The sequence below is a fragment of the Homo sapiens genome, chromosome 1, assembly GCF_000001405.40.
Source record: "Homo sapiens chromosome 1, GRCh38.p14 Primary Assembly".
NCBI lineage: Eukaryota > Metazoa > Chordata > Mammalia > Primates > Hominidae > Homo > Homo sapiens.
In genome coordinates this window covers 209,570,119-209,587,599 of record NC_000001.11, presented here as the reverse complement: position 1 = coordinate 209,587,599, position 17,481 = coordinate 209,570,119, and the positions used below count along the sequence as shown (strand labels likewise).

The 17,481-nt window shown below is 45.7% G+C and overlaps 1 protein-coding gene and 1 long non-coding RNA gene across 3 annotated transcripts in view; one reads left to right on the top strand and one right to left on the bottom strand.

The window, feature by feature from the left end:
* CAMK1G (calcium/calmodulin dependent protein kinase IG) overlaps window positions 1–3,886 on the bottom strand; it is a 30,226-nt gene extending 26,340 nt beyond the window's left edge. Inside the window, exon 1 of one of the 2 annotated variants that reach the window (XM_017001866.3) lies at window positions 3,668–3,886. The gene's annotated coding sequence lies outside the window, so the exon portion shown is untranslated. The remainder of the gene's footprint in view (window positions 1–3,667) is intronic. The other variant, NM_020439.3, reaches the window with a different exon arrangement.
* Window positions 1,235–10,532, top strand: LOC107985256 (uncharacterized). The gene is made up of 3 exons (XR_001738443.2): window positions 1,235–1,399; window positions 9,903–10,143; window positions 10,261–10,532. It is a non-coding gene; the product is annotated as an uncharacterized LOC107985256 (long non-coding RNA).
* Window positions 10,533–17,481: the final 6,949 nt, after the last annotated feature.

Here is a 17,481-nt window from a genome sequence, read left to right as displayed (position 1 = left end):
TTTGCTTTTCAGTATCTTAGTCCTGGGTGACTCTCTGTGAGTAGGGTGGATTTGCTACCTCCTCTGGCCCCCTTCTTGGAGATTCACAATCCACATTAGCTTATTAAAGGCTCTGAGGACCATTAAAGACACATGCTGTTTAATCTGGCATTTCCCAAATTTCGTAGATAGTGAAATTCTTTCCTTCTGTAACACTAATATTAGTGTGCCGGGGATCTAGGGTTTCTCAGAGCATCCTTTGGAAAATGTAGACTAGGCCATCTCTAATGCTTTGTAATTCTTCATATTTTGCAGGGATAGATGAAATTTCGAGCAGCCCTCTGCCATCAGTCACAGTTTCACCCTCCTTGTGGTGTCATAGGTGAATGGCTGGGCCTGTGTCAGAACTCACTTCCAGTTCACGGGTTGCAACCCAAGTGGCTCATCTGCTTGCCAAAGCTGAGGCTCTGGAACCTAAAGGCTTCAGGAAGCTTCTGGCTGGAGAGAAACTCCAAGGACCACCCACTCCATTTCCCAGCCCTTCTGCCACTGCCATTCTGCATTTCAAAGATCAACTCTGCATGCCAATTTCTGTTCACAAAATGACCCAGAGAGAAGGTTTTTCAATTGTTGCCTGCAGTTTATTTAAGGCGCAAACCTACATTTAAGTTTAACAAAATCTCTCCTGCTGCAGTGACAAGCCATAATTTATGTGTTGCTTATGGTTTACTGTGTGCTTCTTACAGAGGATGTGAAGATCATTCTCTAGGGCTTCATGCGGTAGCTGAGAGGTCAACACACAGGGGCCATTGTAGAGAGCAGGGTATGCTGCTTATTCTTAGTGTGCTGCTAAGTATATTGGGCCTTGGTTTCCTCATCTGCTGAATGTGAATAATGATCCCTGCTCTATTTCTCAGCATTCCTTTGGAGGGCTAATGCTTCAATGGGCACAAAAGCAGTTTGCAACCTCTAAAGTGCCATGCAGTGGGTCCACATTATAGGCACATGAATTAAACACTAAGCACTGGAGAAAGAGAAAGGGAAACCAATAAGGACTTAAACAGGGTGAGCACAGGACAGGAGACAGGAATCTGCTATTTCTTCAGCTGGTTCCAGCTCCCACGTGCCTTTCACAGTGTGAGCATCTCATCTCACTGTGTTTCTAAAGTGTTTAAAGATATATGATTTTTCGTACATCATAGCCTGAATGCAAGCCAACTACTTCATCTGGTACTCAACCAAGAAAACAGGGAACTGTTGCAACAAGAGAGGAAATAATACTTCTGTTGGTTTTTTTCACAGGTGATATGCAGGTCTCCACTGGGGCACTTTTCTAAGGAGTTTTCAAGGTTAACGCTGACTGTGTGTCACACACCGCCTTCAAGCCCAATCCCATGCAAGAGGTGCCTCTTTTGTACAGGTTGGACGCTCATTACTATTAACCTTCCCAGCTAGGCACTCTACTCTGGCTTCCAGAAGGGGAGAGGAAGGATCTTTCCCCTACCAGGGATAGAGTACAAAAGGAAGGACAGGCTGAACTCAGGACGAAGGGCTGTGTCAGGAAGCTCTGAGTTACCAGCCTTTCCTCCAAGGACATGGGTTTGACAATCCTGGATAGTCCGTGCAGTCCCCTGCCTGCTTCAGTTTGCTTTCTTGCTGGCAGCCGCTCCCACTCAGCCCCAACCCCCTCGCCATTGACCGTGGCGGCGCGCCTGCAGTTGTAGCGCCAGGCACGCAGCCTGTTTGCAGACTCAGCCGCTCCCCTCATTCATGCTGCAGCTCATTCACTCGCTGGCGCTGGCAGGCTGCGGCTGGGCGCCGCCACTCGCGCGCACTCGTGTGGCAATTTATTTCTGGCCCTGTGTGCGTGTGTATGGGGGAGAGGGAGCGAGGGAGGCGCTCTCCTCTTAGAGGGGGATGCTTTTTCACTTCCAGGTAGAATCGCTCCCAGGCTTTATAGTATTCGCTGCCCTGGACCACGCACCTGGGTGGGGCACCGCGCTAGGCACTTTGCATGCATTATCTTGTTTAATGCCCCACGGCCACCTTTCCAGGTAACCTCATTTTACAGCTGAGGTACTGATAAGTAGAAATGTTCAGAAAAATCCCCCACATCAAACAGATAGTGAATGATACAACTGAATTGGATTCCAACGCTAGTCTTCTCGTCACTGTACCACATAACCTGTTGCCTCTTTCCTGGTGGCAGTTGCTGGGATGTCACTCATCTCCACCTTCATCCTTATGATGCTGTAATGCAATCCTAACGTCTGACTGATTACCCTGGGAACACATGGCTCGGACAATCTTGAAAGGGCTGAATCCCTAAAGCACTCAGATTTCTCAGCATGGAGGCTGGGGACAGCATGTCTATTGCCCCAAGCCTCTCATGGTTCCAGCTCAAACCATTTCTCACTCTAACCTCAAGCTTCTTTCCCAAAGAGTACTTTCTGAAGAGTGCTCTTAATAAGCATCCACACACACACACACACCAGAGCAATCTGCAGCATCGTGGAAAGTTCACTGAATTTATCAATAGATCTGGGTTCAGTTGCCACCACCATCACCAGCTTTGCAACCCCAGGCAAACCCTTTAACTTCTAAGCTTCAATGGTCTCATCTATACTAAAGGGGAAATAATACATGCCACACCATCTGATGGGATCGTCCTAAAGATGATTAATTATAAACACATTATAAACTGTAAAGTGTGGTCCCCATATCAGGTATTACTAAGCACTCTGTGTTACGGCCTGTTTCAGAGGTGGGTCTCATCTTTGGTTCTGGTTAAGCTTGGGTCAGCAGGAATGACAGGGACCTTGTTCTGTCTTCAGCTTATGATCTGGAAAAGATCATCTTCTTACCTAAGGCGGAATCTGCTTGACTCTCTTGACCCTTCTCAGAGGCTTTCCTCATGATCAATTTATCTGACTCCAGAGCAAGAGGCTGGCCAGACAAGCACTGCAGCCAGACCAGCGTGAGCCCTGGCAGCCATCTCCGGGAGCCTCAGGGTTAATGTTTGTGCGTCAAAGTTACGTGGAGAGAAGGGGCCATGGTGTGGATGGGGGTGGTGGTGGTGGTGAATCCAGACCTCCTTTTAAGATCTTCACTTGAGAGGTAAACTAGGGAAGTTTAAAAACAGAAGGGAGGTAGACGCGCCCCTGGGGAAGGTGAAGGAAGCTGTCTTGTGACTGACAGCGATAGCTCGGCTGCGTTCTGCATCTTAACGCGGCTGAGGATAGGGAGCCTGAAGCCTGTCCACAGACTCCTCCAGGAGGGACTGAGGCTGACTCGTCTTCCTTAGGCTTGCAGAGCCACAGGCTGTTTACAAATCTTTTTGCCATTGGTTCTGCTAATCCTCCCAATAACCCAAAGAGGTCGGCAGAGAGGGCATACTTTATTTGATGGATGGGGTCAGAGAGGTTAAGAGATGAAGGTTGAGCAGGAGGGAGGGGTGCAAGAGAGTTGGAGGTCCTAACACCCCAGCAGATGGACGGGGTCCCTCTAGGCACAGAGCCTTGTCCCTAGAATGCAGGCATTGCAGGAGGGGCACATGAAGATATTTTTCTCCCTTTTCCCTGCCCAGAAGGGCAAAATGCTTCCATGAAAGCCAGCCCAGGAGTGACGGACAGATAGCTCCACCCGGACCCCCCATTCAGACTTATTTTCCAAGACAGCTATAACTCACCCTTGATGCCAAAAGAGTCAGGGAAGACTGGAACTGGGGCTGAAATAAATGCCCAAGTTGCTTACAAAGTGGCTCTTCAAATCCACTCACTAGGTGCTGCACGCTTCCCATTAAGCAAGGAGACCCTCTAAAGCCAAGAAAAGAAGCAGGGTTGTCTTACCCAGGGACTCGGGAAGAATCCTGCTTGAGCTCCCACTCCAGCTCCTACAGGTCTGTGAGGATTAGCTGCTCCAGTGCTTTAACAATAAACCCAATTAAAGGGGAGGAATGCAGGAGTTTTCTTTCCCAGGACCGTAACCACGCAGCCTTAAAGGGGAGTAAAAGTAGCTAGGGTGGCTTGCATCTCTCTTTCCTTTCCTCGGCTCTGCTCACCCTCCCTCCCAGCGTGCAGTAATGAGTCTTATCCAGAAAAATGCTTGTGCATTTTTGCCTGGTGTGTGTGTGTGTGAGTCTGTGTGCATGTGTATGTGAAATTGTGTTTGCATTGATGTGTGTGATGGAAAGACAGAACGGAAGAATGAAAAACAAAAACATCAAATTATAAGTTCCCATTATCCTGAATGGGTGATGACAGAAAAAAATCAGAGAAGCTTTCTAGGATTGTCTGCCTCAGTTTCCTTTTTAACCCCTCAGGTGCTGGTGTATGTTGTCTAAAAACACCTCCCTGAAAAACAGAACATCTACACTGGCTGACATGTAGGGACTGAAGACAGTGTCCACCTTGCTTGTTATCTCTTACAGAACTGGGAGAAAGGGCCTTGGATGTCCCAAAAGGGGCCCCTCAGTTGGACGGTCTCACTCAGTATCTTTGATATGTCTCTTTTCCTCCAGAAGCTCAGCATTCTGGTCCCCAAACCTGTCTCAGTCCTAACCTATGAGACCCCAGGAAATCATTCCCCTCCTCCGGAAACTCTGTGCTCCCTCTGTTTCCTGTACTCATCTCTCCAACCTGGCCCTTGACCAAGGCTTCACAGTCTCCATCTTAGCTTCTCTGGGGCAGTCCCTTTAGTGCAGATTTCTTTAAACTCTGTCATCTGCTCTCTTGTTTTCTCCTTCTCTACTCTCTCCTTAAGGTTACCATCTACTCACAGAGTCTATTACCATCTTCATAAGAATCTCCTCAGTCAACACCCCACCTGGGTTATCATGCTCAACCTCAACATCCAAATGCCCACTGTCACCTACAAACAAGGCTGAATGTGTTATGGCCACCCTCAAACCCACTCTCCTGTTTTCCCCAACTAGGCTAATGAGCTACCATCTTCCAAACACTCAACTGAGAAACTCCAGGGTTTGCTTTGTTTGTGTTGCCTGTTTAATTTGTCTTCCAAACCCATCCAGCTCTTATGCACTTCCATTTGTTCCTTGAAATTAGCTTTTAACTTGTACCATTTCTTTTGTGTCATCTTGTTTTTTGAATAAATAACATATTCATATTGGCAAGAAAATGACCATATTAAAAGGCATACATTGAGATGTGTTACCCCCTTCTACTCGTTATCTGTCCCTTGACCCTGACATTGCCCTCTATAGGTGACCACTTTTATTATGGTATTTCTTTATGCAAATACAAGCAAATATTCACCTCTATGATCTCAGTTCAGGCCTTCAACCTCCCACCCAGGTAGAACTGTGATAGGATAGGGTGAGATGGTGCAGTAGGATAGTTAAAAGTGGCTCTGGGGAAGACTTCTAGGTTGGATTCCTGGGTCTTCCATTGACAGATATGTGGCCTTGGGAAAGTGGCTTAACCTTTCTATGCCTCAGTTTTTCCATCTGTAAAATGGCATAATTATTAAACTTATTTCACACACTAGTAGGGTGGAGCGAGACAGAATGCAGCTGCTTAGAACAGTGGCTTGCACATGGTAAGCACTTAATAAATTTTAGCTATGATCATTCTTTATCTGCCATAGTCTGAATATTTATGTCCCCATCCAAATTCATATGCTGACAGCTAATCACCAGTGTGGTGGTATTAAAACATGGGGTTTGGGGGAGGTGATGAAGTCATGAGTGTGGAGCCCTTGTGAATGGAATCAGTGCCCTTATAAAAGAGACCCTAGAGAGCTGCACTGCCCCTTCCACTATATGGGGACACAGAGAGAAGGTGCCTTCTACGAATTAGGAAGTGAACCCTCATCAGGCATTGAATTTGCTGGGCCTTCCAGCCTCCAGAATGGTGAGAAATATATTTCTGCTGTTTACAAGTTGCCAGTTTATGGTATTTCGTTACAGCACCCTGAATAGACTAAGACAGTCTACAATGTAACTTTCATTCTAGAATTACCTCAATAAAACATACTGCTTCCTCATCAAAAACATTCATTGTCTACAGAATAAAATCCAAACACTTCAGCCCATCATTGAAAGCATTCCAGGATCTAGCACAAAGCTATCCTTCCTCCACTGCATCTCTCTTTCTACCCATGTGACACTCCAGCCACACCATATGAAACACTTATTTCTAACATAACACTCACACCAAAACTCCTGACCGTCGTTTATCCTGATCTGTTGGTTAAGAAAATGCCCTTTCCTCATTCTCCACCTATAGAAATTCTATAGATTCAAAAATTCCACATCCAGAAAGCCTTCTAAGATTTCCTCCCCCACTGACAACTGATCACTCCTCCCTTTGGAGTGTTCCCAAAACTCTTTGTCTACAACTCTTCTTAGTTCTTAATCTTTTTTTGCCTTGAATTCTAGTTTGTTTCCTGTCTCCTTTTTTAAATTGATAGTTATTTAAGGGCTGTGATTCTGCCTGTATTTCTTGCCCCTCTTTTTTCTTTCCTCCATCCTCCTCCTGTGCCTGGCTCTGCAAATGTTTATTGGACCTGATAGATTTATCAGCCCTCAGGGGTAGAAAGGCCTTTGATAGTCATCATAATTAAGTAAGATATGATTTGCTAATTATTGGTACATAAGTAAGTACTTAATAAATGGTAACTATTATTAGTATTGAAAGTAGGAATAATAGCATATTATTGTTATTGATACAACATCCCATTTATTGCCTAGACTCTCTGGGTAGAGCATCCCCGACTAAGCTGCTGTCCTCCTCCTGTTTGCACACTCTGGAGCTGGGGAGTTTATCATAGCCTAAGACCGCCAAATAATGCCCATGGGCATTGACACACATTACAAAGTTTATCTCTAGAGGAAGCTGAATTCTGCTTCTCTGAAGACTTTCCCAGCACACACATACATATACTCATTCCTTAAATATTTATCAAATGCTGATGTATACTAAGTATTGGGGATCTGAAACCAGACCTAGTTCCTATGTTCATACAATTTTTACTGTCCAAGTGTATGAATCAGTCAACTCTGCACCTTGTAAGTCACTCTGATGAAAGGATGAATCGGAAAGGAATTGCCTGTTGTCATCAGACCACCAGAATCCTCTTTCTTTCCCATTCCCTCCAATTCACCTGCACCCTGCTGGGCTGGACAAGCCACAGAACCAGGAATGAATTCTCTGCTGTGGAAACAGAAATAGGTTCAGCAGATGTCTGGTGCCAGAGGAGAAAGCATTGCCTCTTAATGATGAGGTCAGAAGCCAGATCTCCTTGCAAGCACTGACCGGGCCATACGCTAATCATTGGAGGCCTAGCGAGGAGGCAGAGCACCCATTGCTCAAATATTAGAACAGATGACTAGAGAACTGAGGGGGCATTTAGTAATGTCTCTCAAGGACGTGGAAGAGAGCTTTTGTCATTACAGCACAGGTATAAGCATGCACATACACAAAAACATGCACGTGCACATGCGTGGTTGCAGTTTTGCCCAGTTCATATTCTTTTAATGGCCTTATCTCTATGTTTTTCTCAACTGACAATTTGACCAAATATTTATTAAACATCAACTATGTGCCCAGGACAGGAGACAAGACAAGCTACAGAATAACAATTGGAGATCATTCAATAGCTAAATAAGGTATTATTAATTTACGTTGTTCCCAGAGATAGGGGTCATGGAAAGATTGCTGCAGGATGGAGATATCAGGAAAGGTTTTATAGAAAAAGTAGAATCTGCATATTAAGGATGAGTGGGACCAGATTCGGGAGGCGTCAGTGGTGGGTGTGGTAGAATTAAGAAAACACAGAGATTTGAATACCTACACAAAATCCATACTGGAAATGATGAGACAGCTTTGCAATGTCACAGGTGACATTGGCAAAGGGGAAAGTGGCCATATAGAACCTGATAGTTATATCCACCACTCCCATCCGACCACGCTTACCCCTCCAAGTAAACAAAATAAGCGGTCCTCTTAAGGTTTGGTATAAGGAGGAGAAAAGGGAGATGCGCTCATGAGGACAGAGCAATCCTTCCTCTGTTTAAGAGCAGATTCTTGCGTCACCTCCTTTCTGTATTGTCTTTTACATTTAATTAGATCTCCAGATTGAGCTTTCTGGACAGCCAAATGACAAGACATGGTGATGTGCCAGGGTGGAAGAGGGAAGGGAAAATGAATCAGGAGAAAGAATTGGCTACATGAGAAGTCAGAAAAACCAACCAAAAAATTGCATGTGTAAAGGCCCTGGGGTGGAAAGGAGCCATACCTACTGGGGAAAGACAGAGTAGTGCATTGTGACTGGGCAGGTAGAGTAGTGGGGAGAGTAGCCCAAATGCAGCTGGTGAGGCAGGAAAAGGAGCAGATCGTGCAAGGCCTTGAAGGCATGATAGGACAGATAATGAGGAGGAAGAGGGGCCACCAAAGAGCAAATATCACTTATTTCAAAACATATCTCCAGTTGGAGGTTGGATAACAGAGAATAGAATGTGCTCCTGATCAGCGAATGAGGGCTGGAGGGAGGGAATGGAAATTATAGGACCATAGAGATGGACTGGCTCACAGGCATGAATCAATGCAAGACTCGCTGCTTTAGTATTTATTTATGTTAAAAATAAGACACCAGACTGCTAGTATTTCCAGGAATAGATATTTTACACTGCTGTGTCTTGGACAACATTGTTCCTGCAGCCTGCGAGATGTTCATCTTTTATTTGAGCTGGATCTTTAAAAACTCTCCTCTCCTGAGCATCCTTCCCTGGGTCTACAGGCAAATGATGACTCTTTCGCTTTTCTTCCAAAGCTCTTGCATCTCTGCAATGGCACCTGCCCTACTCTGCTTGGGTTAAAATTGGTATGATACATGTCAGGGTTGCCGCTTAGATGATAAGCCCTCTGAGGGTAGAAACCAGGCTTCAATGACCTCTACACTTCCACAAAGTCCTGAAAATTGAAGGGCTAAATAAATCCTGAAAATGAGAGTTTTCTGGTGTGTCCTGAGTTTGACACCATTTGCCATTTGACACCGTGGAAGGGAGGAGGAGGACAATGGATGATAAGTACATGGGCTTTGTATTAGTCTGTTCTCACGCTGCTAATAAAGACGTACCAGAGACTGGGTAATTTATAAAGGAAAGAGTTTAATGGACTGGGGAGGCCTTGCAATCATGGCAGAAGGCAAGGCGGAGCAAGTCCTGTCTTACATGGATGGCAGCAGGCAAACAGAAAGAATTTGTGCAGAGGAACTCCTCTTTATAAAAACATCAGATCTCATGAGACTTATTCACTATCAGGAGAACAGCACGGGAAAGACCCATGATTCAATTACCTTCCACTGGGTCCCTCCCATGACATGTGAGAATTATGGGAGCTACAATTCAAAATGAGATTAGGGTGGGTGACACAGCCCAACCATATCAGGCTTACCATGGGCTGCCCCCATGGACACACAGAATCCTGAAGAATGTACAAAATGGCCCATTGTTTGGTTTGTGTTGCATCTTCCAATTTCTTTAGATGCTGCAGAGAGTTGTGTGTCAGAGGTGGGCCATTCATCCAGGATGTCTGGCTGAGTCCTCATGGCCACTCTGCCTAGGAGGAAGGTATCAACTCTTCCCACCTGGACTTTCTTCTTTTCTCCTGTTTCCCTGGGCCTCTCCATCCTATGTATTCTTTCCCAGATTCTTCAATCCTCCTCCTCAGCCTCTGCCAGTGTTCATCAAGCATTTGGTTATGTCTAACTGTACCTTGGGTGACGTGGGGGTAGCAGGGGATCTTGCAGGTGGAATGTCTACAAGGCATGTAGATTTTCATCTGACCATCCAACCCTCTCTTCATGTGTGTGATTTGTGTCTATGTGCTAAAAGAATCTATCACCTCTACTGCTTTAAATCATATTCCCAAATGACCCCAGCCTGGGTCTATGTCATGTTCCAGGAAGAGTTGATGGAGGACAGGATGAATCTCATCACCCTTGGCTTCTGGTTTCTGGCTATGACCTAGTCACTTCCTATGGGAACCTGCTTCTGATCCTCAGCAGAGACTGGAGGACCTTTCACCTCTGCATCCTTCATTATCCACATGCATTTCTGTATCCAGAGCTGGAGGCATTTGCGATGACTCTCCAAGGTCACCAGGATGTGGCCTGGAAAGGCCAGCAGGAGTGGAGTCAAAGGAAGTGGGTAGTCATAAGTATCCCTTGCCTCATCCAAACTTTTATCAAAGCTACTTACAATGTATCTGATTGAGCGATTCCATTTTAACCTTGTTTTTCTGTTTCTTCCCAACGCTCTAGGGAATACACAAGTAACAAAGGGAGAAATTACAACAGTGAGAATTTCACTAAGGAATCTAGCCCATGTCATCATGTTTACAGACAGCCCTGGATTCAACTTGGGACTGGGGCTTAGGGAACCTGGCACCTTTATTAGCTGGGTAACCTGGGATGAGTCTAACCTTCATGATTTGTCTTCTCATCTGTCAAATTGGGCTAAAGATCTCAGTCTACCCCAGGAGTCTACTGTCAGGGTCAAATAAAACGAAAGAATGTGTATAAAAACATCAAAAGTAATGTCACCTTTGTCCCCTACCCCTAGAATCTCGAGTCTACCTACCTCCAGGTGCTGCTCCTCCCTGCCCCGCTGGGACACGGTGATTTCCCAGCAGGATTGCTCTGTGGGAGATGGGATGACCAGGCTCCCTCACTCCCAAGAATGAGCTGCACTGCCCTCTAGTGACAGTGCCCTGTCTAGCAACAGGCCCAGAGGTGCCTGTGTCCTCCCCGCTGGCTGACTGGTGGGGAGAACGGATTTTTCTTGGTGGCACTGTGTCTGACCAACCCCTCCTTCTGCCTTGCCTCACAATTCTCCATATTTCTTCTGTATAAGTTCCACGTGGTAACCCATTGCACAACCGGAGCATCATATTTCTGATATGGGCAGTAACTGCTGCTCCTTTTCTTTAATATTTTAAGAACCAACACATATTTGCAGGTGTCTCTTGTGGGTAAGGCGATGCGCAGGCAGTGAGCTGTCACTGCTCCCCCACCGCCCATCTCCCTCTTCTGCCTTAAGAGGGAGCTGTCTGCAGCCTCCCTCAGCAAGTCAGCCTTCTGGAGACTTCCCAGGGACAATTACTGGGCCCCTTCCCCACTTGTGGAAAGGACTCAATGGGATCACAGGGATTTCCCGAGAGTCTTTTCTGTCCCCCACAGTGACCATCAAAGAGCAGGCATGGCACAGGCATTCTGGAAAGTTCTTCTGAGTGAATAGATGACCTTTATGAATCCCTTCCTTGGATAGATCCTGACATTCTGTAATATGTGCACACCTTTTTGAGACTCACTGTAGTGCAGAGGCTGAGTCAGACAGTTTTAAAAACGTTTCTGAGCCTCAGTTTCTCAAGCATAAATTGGGTATAAGAAGGTCATAAGTGCTAAATAAGATAATGTATGTGAATTGCTTGGAAAATGACAAGCACTCAGGAAGAGGACGCATTGGGGCTCTGAATCAGTTTGAGACATGGCAGAGACCAATATGGTATGTAATATGGTATGTAAGGTGGCTCCAGAGATCTGGGTGAAGGGAGCAAATGGGGCTTAGGAGGGGACAGTGTTCACACAGAAGGCGAGAGGGTGCATACGCATGCTCACCCATAAGCCAGAGGTCTGGGACGGAGGACTTCCATGTATAGTGAGATCTCAGCTTAAGATCCTGTGATTTAGAGGTTACAGGCACCCTCACCTCTTGGAATAACTGTCTAGAGGAACCCTACTGAGCTCCCGAGCACTCTCATCTCCAAGGAGTCCAATCAATATATGCCCTAGTTAGGGGACTTAGTCAGAAAGAGGGAGGCAAGTGAAAGACAAAATCTTTCCCTTATAATGGGTTTGGGAGGGTGACACCCAGGACTCTTGAACAACTAGAATGCCTAGGGCTTGGGAGCCAGACAGCCTTCTGGGGACACATCCAGCCCCAGCTGGCCCTAGGGAGAGTAGCAACAAGAAAATCCTTCTTCCAGTTGTCCTTTCCCTTTGCATCCCCTGCAGGGAGGTGAACACCTCTCACTCCCACCCTCCTTCTCTCTTCCATTCTTCTAGGCTTTCAGGAGGAGGAGAGTTTCTGAGGGAGCAGCATCATCATCAGCTACATGTTCTCCTCTGCTGTTGTTCCTGAGATGGAATATATAAATAATAGGACTGACAATAAGTAGAAATCAGCAGAAATAATGTACTCCTGAGAAAGGAAACAATTGCTTGATTTAAACACCAGATCTCTTGTCTGAGTGCTTTCAGTGCCATGGTCCACATTTGACCTCCAGAGATGGATTGAAAGAACCTCGCATAGGGGTGGAATGCAGGCACAATGCTTCCAGAGCAAGGTCTGTGGGCTGAGGACAATGGCCTGGCTCCTTCTCTGTGCAGTGAATTGGAAACGAGTCACAATAGCCACTCCAGATCCAAGGCTGGTTCCTTCTGCTCCATGTTAAGAGACAAGTCCTCAGCATGAGGACAGAAAGCAGGCTGGCATTGCCAGTCCTTGTTATGGATTGTATTGATCTTAGCTTTCAGCATTTCTACCTCCCCACAATAGGTGGAGGGAAGCAGAAAGAATGGTCTGCCCAGGTTTTCCAAAACCTTGGGAAAAACAACCAGCCTAAAGGATTGCAAAGAGACAAAGAATTATATTCTTGTGAAGGTGGCAAGGCCAGGTGATGTGGTGATGCCAGAAAATTATTGATTGATTTTGAGGTCCAGAGGACCCTAAATAGGGATACTGAAATCAGCCCCTTGTTTGGCAGCAAGATGGTGTGAAGGGGAGAGAAGGGAAAGAGGAAGGAGAAACTTCTGTCCTCTCCTGGGTTTGGGCACGAGAAGGCAGATTTCAAAGACAGAAGAAAAGGGCAGCACCAAGGCAGACCCTGTTCCTTTTATAGCCCTAGGAAGCTCTGCAAGTGTCAGCCGATGAAGTAAGCCCAGGCCAGGCATTTTGGACATTTCTTTATAAGGTAAGGTTGATCTTATCATAGCCTGTAACCCAGCTGAAAATGGAAAGATTTAGACACCAGAAGGAGCTCCGTATCTAGAGAGGGTGGTGATAGGGAATGGGTGCTATGTCCAACAAATCATCACATCCCAAAGTTCCCATGAGAAGCGAGGTGGGGCATCACAACAAGTGTGCATACAGCAGTGTTCCCATAGAATAGGGAGTCTAAGAGAAGACAGTATCTGAGATTTTCAGGCCATGTGCCTTTGCATGGGCCATTTCCTCTGCCTGGAGTGTTCGCTCCTTTTCTGTTTAGAGGATTCCTAACTATGCTTGAAGAGCAGCTCACATCTTGCCACCTCTATGAAATCCTCCATAACAAAATAATCCTCTCTCTCTACAACATTTGGCAATACCTCACTCATAATTCCATTATATGCAAAATTTTCAATTATTAAATTAATCCATTTCACTAAATTTTGAGCCCTTAGAGTAGATTCTGTGGCTTTAACTACCCAGTGTGTAGCAGCTAGTAACTTACTAATTCATCCAACAAATGTAAATTAAAATTCAGGAAGCAGGCTGGCAGGTAGCATGAGGAGGTTTGGTGGGAGAATTCAGGGCAAGAGCCATCAAGGCAATACTCCAAGCCCAAGGTGAGGGTGGAAACAAAAAGCAAGGACATGTCTTTGTCCTAGTGGAATTGGACACTGGGCAGAGTTCCAATGCAGAGATGGCAACACGGGAATATCCGGTTCAGGGAAGAGAATTGGTTGTGGGAGCAAGGCAGAGACTTATACACAGTTCAGCATTGGGCCTGAGAAAGGCTGGATGCTGACTGAGTCTCATGAACATTGAACTAAAAGGGCTTTGAGGCTCCTTAAAGGAAGACGGTCCTGGTGTCCAGGCTTGGGACCATGCTGAGTCTGCTGCTGGGTACATAGGCTTGAAGTTCTCTCAGTTGCAGCTGAGGAGCTGAGGGTGCAATGAGCCAACAAGTCAATAGACCAGACTCATGACCATTGCTTTGTCCTCTTTTCTCCAAAAAGTGAACACAGGCACAGATATCCCAGCCTTCTAACCAGAGCAAGGCAGCATTAGTGTCTGATGGAATCCCAAGGGACTCTGCCTCCTGCCACCATTAAATATTAGACATTTTGTGCATAGAATTGACATATGAAACCTGCAGCAGAGACACTGATAAACCATCCATACAGGTATTACCTGCTTCCTCTGTGTTCCACAAAGCCTACTTCTAGTTTTTTTTTTTTTTTTAAATTTTATTTATTTATTTTTTTTTGAGACAGAGTCTTGCTCTGTCGCCCAGGCTGGAGTGCAGTGATGCGATCTGGGCTCACTGCAAGCTCCGCCTCCCAGGTTCACGGCATTCTCCTGCCTCAGCCTCCCGAGTAGCTGGGACTGCAGGCGCCCACCACCACGCCTGGCTTTTTTGTATTTTTTAGTAGAGATGGGGTTTCACCATGTTACCCAGGATGGCCTCGATCTCCTGACCTCGTGATCCGCCCGCCTTAGCGTCCCAAAGTCCTGGGATTACAGGCGTGAGCCACCGTGCCCGGCTGTCTACTTCTAGTTTTTAAATTCAAGGACTGTTCTGCACCTTTTATCTTCTCAAGAAGAGTATGGCAAAATTTCTCCCTTCAGAACAAGACCCCTGAGAGAGATTCTGCTTCTAGCCCATGGATTGGAGAAGGGTATATTAGAGCTCAGGTGTGTAAAACAAAACACGTCTATGGGTGATGTTTATTCAACATGAAAACAACTGGAATGTGACATGAAAAAGTCAATCAATCACAAATCTTAGTATAAAGACAGTTCAGAGCCAGGCATGGTGGCTCATGCCTATAATCCTAGCACTTTGAGAGGCTGATGAGGGCAGATTGCCTGATCTCAGGAGTTCGATACCAGCCTGGGCAACATGGTAAAACTCCGTCTCTATAAAATACAAAAAATTAGCTGGGCTCGATGGAACGCACCTGTAGTCCCAGCTACTCAGGAGGCTGAGACACGAAAAATGCTTGAATCTGGGAGGCGAAGGTTGCTGTCAGCTGAGATTGCACCACTGCACCCCAGTCTGGGCAACAGAGTGAGACTCCATCTAAAACAAAACAAAACAAACAAACAAACAAACAAACAAACAAACAAACAGTTCAGGTCCTAGCATCTCTTTGCAAATTCTCATCTCATAGAAGAGCTTTCCATTCTAAATTTGAGTCCCTGTCGGGTGACTTCAGATGAATCTGAGCCTTAGTTTTATCTATAGAACAGGAAGAATAATGCAATATTGACAGCCAGTGAGGTCTGATGAGCATGGAGAACATCTACGAGGTCTAAACAGCACCCTTTCCCCTTTCTGCACTTCTACCCCCTTTCTGCTGGAAAATGCTCATTTCCCCATTATATGACTCTAATGGGCATCACAACTTCTGTGTAGAACCTACCCCTGTTCACAGTTGATGAGTCAAGTCGTGAGCTCAAGTCCATTCAGTTCCGTTTTGCTGCCAAATGAACTTACTTCAAATTTATATTTTAAAAAATTCTATTTAGATTTCCAGGGCACTTTGGGGATTGTGGAGCATGGAATGTGGAATTGTAAGTAGTTGAGTCTAGGCATATTTGGATCACACATCTAATAGAGTCTGTCGTCTCTATTAGAACATGAATTCTTTGAAGGCAGGGATGAACACCACCCCTGTCCTATAGTCACTTCAAGTTCAGCATGTCCACAACTGCACCTAAACAGGGAGTGAGAAACCATTAGATAATAGATAGTGAAGTGAAGCCGGGAGCATGAAGGATTGGGGTAAAGCAGAGCCATACAATGACCCTGACATCTTCTTCCCCACCTGTTCCTCCACCTGTGTCCTCTGTCGTCTTCTCCATCATCCAACCTAGAAGTCTGAGCCACTTGCACTCTCCACCCTCCTTTACTCCACAACATCTGATAAGCCTCCAAGCCTCGCTGATTTTACCTCCTAAATATTTCTTATATTTGCATGTTCTTCTCCATCTCTTCATGGGTTGACTTCATCATCTCTTACCTGGATTATAGTAAAAGCCTCTGAGTTGGTCTTATTTCCTCTAGTTTTGTCCTTCTCCCATTCCCATTCTTTCCTAGCCCTGCTGGATTGATGGAACATACCACTCTTGTTTAAAATTTTACCAATCAGTGACCAGCCTGACCAACACGGTGAAACCCCATCTCTACTAAAAATACAAAAATTAGCTGGGTGTGGTGGTATATGCCTGTAATCCCAGCTACTTGAGTGGCTGAGGGAGGAGAATCACTTGAACCCAGGAGGCAGATGCTGCAGTGAGCCAAGATCGCACCATGCACTCCAGCCTGGGTGACAGAGTGAGACTCTGTCTAAAAAAATAAAATAAAATAAAATAAAATAAAATAAAATAAAATAAAATAAAATAAATAAAATCTACTTAATGAATGTGGCTTTTTTTTGTTTGCTTTATCCCCTGGCCATTGGCATCCCCATCTAGCCTGGAAGATGGGTTGGTCGTTAGGGGAGGCATGCCCTCCCATTATGAGGTGAATTGTGTCCCTCCAAAATTTATATGCTGGGGTCCAAACCTCCAGTATCCCAGAATGTGACCTCATTCGGAAGTGGGGTCATTGTAGATGTAATTAGTTAATTTTAGATGAGGTCATACTGTTGGAGGGTGGGCCCCTAATGCAGTAAGACTGATGTCCTTATAAAAAGGGGAACTTTGGACACAGGCACACACAGGCAGAACGCCACATGAACATAAAGGTTCATGATCATAGGATGATGCTTCTATGAGCCAAAGAATGCCAAAAATTGCAAGCAAATCACCCAAATCTAGGAGAGAAACATGGAACAGATCCTCCCTCACAGCCCTCAGAAGGAACCAACCCTGACAACTCCTTGATCTCAGACTTCTTGCCTCCAGAATTGTGAGACAGTAAATTTCTGTCATTTTAGCCACCCAGTTTGTGACCTTTGTTAGGCAGTCCTCCTAGCAAACTAACGCACCTCCGCAGCGATGGTTAAGACTGAACTCTGGGGCAGGAAGCTTGCTTGGCTGGGCAGGGCTGCAGTAAGGAATTATGGGGCTCAGCATGCCTCCCGGCTCAAGTGCTGGAGGGAGAGCTCCCAAGGATCCCAAGTCTGCCTTTGCCACCCTCTGAAGACACGGATTCGCTGACAGCGTGAAATCTTGGATCTCCATTTTTTCCCTTTCAATCTGAGTCAGAGCCCATGGGGTGCCCTTCAGGAGCTGTGGGTGCAATATGCTTTCTATGTCAGAATTAGCCAAGAGGTGGGTTGCTGTTGCCTTTTTCCAAAGCACAATCCCCACTGCTGGTCCATCTGATAGGTACTCTTGCAAGAGAGGAAAGATATGTTTCATGCCTTTAACCACCTGGAGACCGGACCAGAAAGAATTGCTTTAGCCACTACTCCATGTGCCCTTAGTAATGCTAAGCACACCTTTGAGCAGGTTGGAGACCTCTCATAACACAGATCATCGATGCAAAA